This window comes from Homo sapiens, chromosome 8, assembly GCF_000001405.40.
Source record: "Homo sapiens chromosome 8, GRCh38.p14 Primary Assembly".
In the NCBI taxonomy this organism is placed as follows: domain Eukaryota; kingdom Metazoa; phylum Chordata; class Mammalia; order Primates; family Hominidae; genus Homo; species Homo sapiens.
Genome location: NC_000008.11, coordinates 27,218,702 through 27,226,892, shown reverse-complemented (window position 1 = coordinate 27,226,892; position 8,191 = coordinate 27,218,702).

Genomic DNA, 8,191 nt, shown 5'->3' with positions numbered 1-8,191 from the left:
GAACCTGAGAAACTTTTCAGTAGCATGTGTATTAATAAGGAAGAAATACAGCTTCAGCTTGACTGTGAGAATACTAGCCTCCAGGAATGATAGAGAATTAGGAATCTACCAAACTCGTGTACAAATGCATGCACGCACACACACTTGAGTGCACGCACATACACTTGAGTGCACACACACATGCACAGTGTTCAGCAACAGGAAATCATCTCTCTTTAAATCAAAGTCTCACTCTAGTTTCAAACATAAAAGTAACTTGCTGATGGGAGGCTTGCTCCAAGCTGAAGTCATGCTGATGCCTGATCAAGTAGTTCCTGGGTATTCTTGTTTCTCATCTTGCTTTTAGCTGTAAGAGTCCATTAAAAATCTGAGGGACAATGTCCTTGACAGCCATAGCAAAGAATTATGGGTCAAGAGCTTATAGCTACACAATAAATTACCCTTAAAATCTACAAATCCAATATTAGGGTCACCAGGCAGTCTCAGAAAGTAGGTAGAGGGCATTTGTCTTCTTACTTCCTATACAGATAGAATGTATTCTACTATCAATTATTTGATTTATCTTTGTTAGTTGCAAGCAAATGCCCACAAGCATTTTAACTATATAAACTTACATATCTGGAGACTCAAAACTATGCCATGCTAAGAATGCTAAATATTCAAAATGTAAGGAGAAATACAACATAAGTGGAAGTGCTAAAGCATAAACTATTTCATAGGTTGATTTCTCTCTTGGTCTCTTTTTAATACCATTAAGGCATAGGCCTTGAAAGATATTCATAGGACTCTGGGGTCTTCTGGAAAACCCTCCTGTCCTATTTTCTACTACTCTTTCCTTACAGAGTGTATACCCAGAAGTGGGGTTGCGGGATCCTATGGTAATTCTACTTTTAATATTTTGAGGAACTGTCACGTTGTTTTCCATAGCGACTGTAAAAATGCACATAGATTAAAAGCAAAATGAAGGCTTCTAGGAATTCCCTTGCTTATAGACAGCTAGCTTCATCTATACCTCACCTACCCTAAGGATCTGCTTTCACTATTTTTTACCGTTAAATTCACCTTGATGGGAAAGTTTGGGAAGTGCTGGTGTGGCTATTAAGACATGAGCTTTAGAGCCAGTGCAGCCTGGATTTACGAATACCAGATCTGCTACTAGTGACCTCTGTGACTAGGTAAAGTGACGAAAGCTTTTGAAGTCTTAGTTATCTATCTGTGAAATGAAGATTCAAAAACTCGTAACACAATGCCTGGCACACAGCAAACACTCAGTACCTAGTAGTGAGTTACTCTATCATTGTTCTCAAAATCTGCTTCCTCTTCCTAATGATGGTGTTTCAAATATTTGAAAAGATCTGTCAAGTTTCTCTCATTACTTCTCTTCTTTAGGTAAATTTTCCATGTACTTTTTTTTTTTTTTTTTTTTTTTTTTCTTTTTTTGAGACAGAGTTTCGCTCTGTCACTCAGGCTGGAGTGCAGTGGCATGATCTTGGCTCACTGCAACCTCCGCCTTCTGGGTTCAAGTGATTCTCCTGCCTCAGCCTCCCAGGATACCAGCTGGATTACAGGCATCCAGCTCAATGCCTGGCTGATTTTTATGTTTTAAGTAGAGACGAGGTTTTACCACATTGGCCAGGATGGTCTTGAACTCCTGACCTCAAGTGATCCACCCACCTCAGCCTCCCAAAGTGCCAGGATCGCAGGTGTGAACCACTGCAACCAGCCCCGTGTACCTTCAATGATTGTTTGCTTATTACGCTTTACTGATTCCTCAAATTCTTTTCATTCTGTGATAGATGCTTTCTGGTTGGTCTACACCTCTTTTAAAATGAGATGCTTGCTCTTATATACTGCCTGTGTGAATCCAAATGGGTTTTGTCATTTTACTAGGTTGGTGCACAAATAATTAAGGTTTTTGCCATTACCACAATTACTTGTGCACCAACATAATAGTGAATCACTTGGCAATATATTAGGTTGGTGCAAAAGTAATTGCAGTTTTTGCCATTACTTTTGCACCAGCCTAATAAAACATAAGCCTCAAAAAGGTCCATATCCATTGACTTACTTTTTCTCTTTCTAGAAATTCTGCTTCCTAACAATCTATTCTAAATAAAATATTCTGAAACACAAATCTTTATGAACAATAAAGTTCATCAAAGTATTAAATACAATATCAAAAAATGCAACAAATGCAAATGTCCTTCAATAGCGAAAATATTCTAAAAGTATAGGACAGTGATATAATATATGTTGATAAAAAATTTTAAGACTATAAGGAGAGGTTAACTCACTTGGCTGTATAAAAATTTAAAAAGATTATTATATAATTTTAATTGGAAAAAACAGAATATCAAACTATACATTCAGTTATCCTCAGCCATATAAAATTATGCACACCAGAATGATAATTTGTTTGTTTTTTCATTCTGTTGAGATCTTATGTGTTAGGAATTGTGCAAGAGGCCTGGCACTGTGGCTCATACCTCCAATCCTAGCACTTTGGGAGGACATGGCAGGAAGATTGCTTGAGGCCAAGAGTTTGAGACCAGCCTGGGCAACATAGCAAGATAATCTCTCTACAAAAAAATTTTTAAAAACCAGCTGAGCATCGTGTTATGTGCCTGTATCCCCAGCTACTCTGGAGGCTGAGGCAGGAGGATCTCTTGAGCCCAGGAGTTTGAGGCTGCTGTGAGCCAGGATTGCGCCACTGCACTTCAGCCTGGGCAGCAACGAAGACCCTATCTTAAAAAAAAAAAGGAATTGTGCAAGGATCTGAGGAGGCAAATATAAACAAGGAAAAATTCTTGTTTTCAAATATCTTGCAATCAATAAGATAATTAAATAGAGTTTTAAAATAATGTGATAAGTCATATAATAAAAGCATATGTTTTATGTGAGTGGAGTGGAGGAAAGGCCTTGTTTTACAGTGGGGTGGGAGGAGGGGAGGCAGAGGAAGTTTCACAGAGGAATGATGTCTGACTGAACTGACTTTTGAAGGATAACTAGGGGAGATCAGGCAGGCAAAGAAAGACAAGGAAGGAATTAGGGGAAGGGAGTGAAGAGTCTTCCAGATGGGGAGGGATCAGCACTTGCAAAGTGAAAGTGACAATGACTGCTTAAAAGACAGTTTAGGGCACCAAGGGGATGTGCCGGGAACTGGAGCTGAAAGGATTGGCAGGATCCAGGATTTTCACTTGGCCAGGAGAGGTGGGAGTTAGGAGCATGAGCATGGAATTAGTCAGAGTTCTCTAGAGGAACAGAACTAATAGGATAGATGTATATATAAAGAGGAGTTTATTAAGGATTCTTGACTCACACGATCACAAGGTTAAGTCCCACAGTAGTCTGTCTGCAAGCTGAGGAGAAAGGAAGCCACTTCCAGTCCCAAAACCTCAAAAGTAGGGAAGCCAACAGTGCAGGCTTCAGTCTGTGGTCGAAGGTCCAAGAGTCCAAAAGCTGAAGAACTTGGAGTCCAATATTTGAGGGCAGGAAGCATTGAGCATGGGAGAAAGATGCAGGCTGGAAGACTAAACCAGTCTAGTCCTTCTGTGTTCTTTTGCCTGCTTTTATCCTAGCCATGCTGGCAGCTGATTAGATAGATGGTGCCCACCCAGATGGAGGGTGTGTCTGCCTTTCCCAGTCCACTGACTCAAATGTTAATCTCCTTTGCCAACACCCTCACGGTCACACCCAGGAACAATACTTTGCGTCCTTCAATCCAATATTAACCATCACAGGCATGATCCTGTGAGTGTTAGGGAGGATTGAAAGCAGGGGAGCAGAACACTTGTAACTGGTGGGCATTCTGACAGCAGTGAGGAGGGGCTGTGACCAGAAGCAGGAAGCCTAGTCAGGGAAGGTGTAGCAGACCAGGTAGGTGAGGACCTGAACAAACACTCTGATAATGATGGAGCAACCGAAAGGATTGGAACAGGAAGAATCAACAGAATTTGGTGATTGAATGGAGAGATTTCCAGGTTTCTGACTTGACCTGCTAGACAGATGATGATGCTACCCTCAGGATGAGAATATGGGAGGAGGGGAAAGTTCTGGAGGAAAGTATTCAGTTGAGGGTATGATGAATTTAAGATGTGATTTCCTTAGGTAATACAACTAGGTCGAGTTCTTGATTACAATTAAGTTATATAACTCACTCATGAGTTGTTTTTCATTAACACCATCAAGGGAGTAATGGAGCTCTATGTTTAACAACCAAAGCTGGGGAGAACAATCTGCTAAAAGTAGACATATGCAATCTCAGAAGCAGTGACTGCAATAATATCTTAACACATGATCCAGTTAAATTTATGTCCTAGCTATAAATATGTATGAAAGTGTATGCTTGAAGATGAAGTAACTAATGAATGCTAAACGTATTGCACCTTAACTTGCCTTCAGCATAACGTCAAATGATTGCAAGTCACGGTGGCTGGAGGAAGTCTGGTTCAAGAGCCTGTGTTTAATTTGCATAATGAAACTGTAAAGATTAAAGACTCTACATTTCCCAGCCTCCGCTACTGTGAGATATTGTCACTTTACCAATTGCTGAGCTGGAAGTGGAAATGGTATATACAACTTCCAGGAGTGTTTTTAATGTAAACTTTTTCTCTTCCCTCTCATCTGCTGGATTGAATGTTGATGTGATGGAGTCTTGGATCCAGAGGTGAAGATGGGAGGAGAGGCATGCATGGAGGTATGAGGTGGAGGAAGCCTGGATCTCTAACCCCAAGGAATCCAAATTCACTTCAGACTTGCAACCTGAGCTTTTATAAAAGGGAAAGAAACTTTTTTGAGAATTTTTTTTCTGTCAGTTACAATTTGATTGAATAGTATTGGCTATAGTTTTTTTTTTCTTCTTATTAGCAAAAATCACGTAAAATTCTTGCCCTTCCCACATCCTGAGATTGTAACAATGCATCAAAAACTCTGGGATTCTGGGTATGGGGAAAAAAAAGACCCTGCCATCATGAAGTGTATACGGGCATGCCTTGTTTTATTGTGCTTCCCAGACACTGCATTTTTTATAGATTGAAGGTTTGTGGCAACTCCCTGTTGAGCAAGTCTATTGGCACCATTTTTTTCCAACAGCATGTGCTCACTTTGTGCCTCTGTGTCACATTTCGGTAATTCTCTCAATATTGCAAACATTTTCATTATTATTATATCTGTTATGGTAATCTGTGATCAGTGATTTTTTAATGTCACTATTGTAATTGTTTAGGAGTGCCACAAACTTTGTCCATATGGGATGGTGAACTTATGGATGAACATTATTATGTGTTCTGACTGCTCCACCAACTGGCCTTTCCCCTGTCTGTTTCCCTCTCCTTGGAACTCCCTATTCCCTGAGACATAACAATTTGAAATTAGGCCAATTAATAACCCTACAATGGCCTCTAAGTGTTCAAGGGGAAGAAAGAATTGCTTGTCTCTCACTTTAAATCAAAAGCTAGAAATAATTAAGCTTAGTGAAGAAGGTATGTTGAAAGCTGAGACAGGCCAAAAGCTGGGTCTCTTTTGCCAGTTAGCCAAGTTGTAAATGCAAATAAAAGTTCTTGAATGAAATGAAAAGTGCTACTCCAGTGAACAGAAAAATGATAAGAATGTGAAACAGCCTTATTGTTAGTATTCACCATAGAAGGATCCACCTTTCTAGATGCCATGAAGAACATTTGTGCTTCATACGAGGAGGTCAAAATATATATTTTTAAAATTTTAATTTTTTTTTGGCAATTGGGCAGCCTCCTGAACCAGAATAGGTTCAGAGAGACTCCCTAAGGAGGTCAAGATATTAACATTAACAGGAGTTTGCAAGAAGTTGATTCCAACCCTCAGGAATGACTTTGAGGGGTTCAAGACTTCAGGGAACGAAGGAACTGCAGATGTGGTAGAAATAGCAAGAGAATTAGAATTGAAAGTGAAGCCTGAAGATGTGACTGAATCGCTGCAACCTCATGATAAAACTTGAACGAATGAATAGTTGCTTCTTATGAATGAGCAAAGAAAGTGGTTTCTTGAGATGGAATGTACTCCTGGTGAAGGTGCTGTGAGCATTGTTGAAATGACAGCAAAAGATTGAGGATATTCCATAAACTTAGTTGATAAAGCAGCACCCAGGGTTTGAGAGGATTGACTCCAATTTTGAAAGAAGTCAAACATTTTTCTGTGGGTAAAATGCCATAAAAAAGCATCACATGCTACAAAGAAATCTTTCATGGAAGAGTCGATCAATGTGTGAAACTTCATTTTTGTCTTATTTTAAGAAATTGGCCACAGCAATTTCTTAAATGCCCCAACCTTCAGCAACCAGCGTTCTGATCAGTCAGCAGCCATCCATATCAAGGCAAGACCCTTTACCAGCAAAAAGATTCTCACTGAAGGCTCAGATGTTCATTAGCATTTTTTAGCAATAAAGTATTTTTCAGTTAATATATGTACATTGCTTTTTCAGACATAATGCTACTGCACACTTACTAGACTCAGTGTAGTGCAAACATAACTCTTATATGCACTGGGAAACCAAAACATTCGTGTGACTCATTTTATTGTGACATTTGTTTTATTGTGGTCTTCGGGAGCTAAACCTGCAATATCTCTGAGGTCTGCCTGTGTTCTACTGGGGAAGACTCATATTTCGCCAACCAAAACAATGGGTGATAGGATCTATTACTTGCTGTTTTCAAGGGGCACAAAAGAGGGAATGATTAGCCTTGCCTGTGTGAGGTTGACATTCAAAATGAATCCTTAGCATTTTTATGCTATCATCGAGTAGAGAAGTGGGGTGGGTGAAGGCATCTCAAGGAGCTTATGTATGGGTAAATGCAATGGTATGCACAATTTCCAGGCAGCATTCCCTGAAAGGCTGTTGTGTTCAGGGAACAGTACATTATCCAGAGTGGCCAGAAGACCACGTACAATGGGGTTGGTAGAAGATGGGCATGGAATGAATGGACAATTGGGAAGGACACTGAACGTCAGACTGAGAAATCTGGACTTAATCTACAGGTAATTAAAATGATTTGCAAATGTTTTGCAAAGACAAGAAATCTGTTCACAGCCTGTCATTGAAATGATCACACATTTTCATATTCAGAACTTCACAGTGTGTTGCCAGCAAAGTAGTGAAGGGCATCTTTATAGAAATACATTATAATTACAGTTTTTTTTTTCCAAAGGACTAAAAGTATTTTATGGGCAGGATGCAGGGGGAAGGGAGAGAGAGACAAAAACAGAAAGAAACAGAGACAGAAGGACAGAGAGACAGAGAGAATGTGTGTGCATCTTTAATAGAAGTTCCAGATGGCAGATAAGGGAGAGAAGAAAGCCTGAAGACTAATATCAGATAAGATTTCAAAGGAATAGAAGGGAAAATCAAAACAAATTTTGAAAAGTTTAATTAAGGCTGTGGAACATTTTTGCCTTAGGGAAGGAGAAAACTGTCTCTAAATTTATTTGTAATGAGACCTTCACACTTTCTCCCTTGGTCTGTACATGGCTTCTCTGTGGGTTAATGGTAATATACATTAAATGTCTTTTTGGTTGAATTCCTAATAGTATTATTTGAGTGCAATTAATTTAATTTGAGATTCATTCTTTATAAATACCAAAGGAAAATTTTATAACCTTAATATTGTATTTCATACTGGAAACTGGAGAAAAAAGCAAACATAAAGTTCCCACTACGTGCCTATTCTATGGCTGGCATGAAGCCTATATTACCTCATTCAGTTTAATCACCATGAAACCCTAGGAAGTTGGCATTATTGAACCCATTTTAAAGAGCAGCTGAAGATCTCAGAGACTGATATAGTCATCAGATTTTTCTAAGTGGCAGAACCAGGATTTAAATTCTAATCAGCTTGACTCTAGAACCCAAGATCTTTCCAAAACACCAAGAACTTTCTGGCTGTGCCTCCTACAGGCTGAGAGAACTTGGGTATGTTGTGCATACTCAATGAGGTAAACTAAGATGTGCTTCGAATACCCAAAGGAGATGCTTCTAGGAACTTGATTAAGTATATGAGTCATTGCAGGCTAAGTTTCTCATGGGAAGGAAGTATAGCCTTCATACGTCTCTTCTTCTTGGTAATTTTATTTGGATTCCTTGAATCTATAAAGAAGGGAGTCTTCTGAAGCCGCTTGAAAAGCTCTGCCGTCAATGATACAGAAAGAATAACTGAGCAATGCT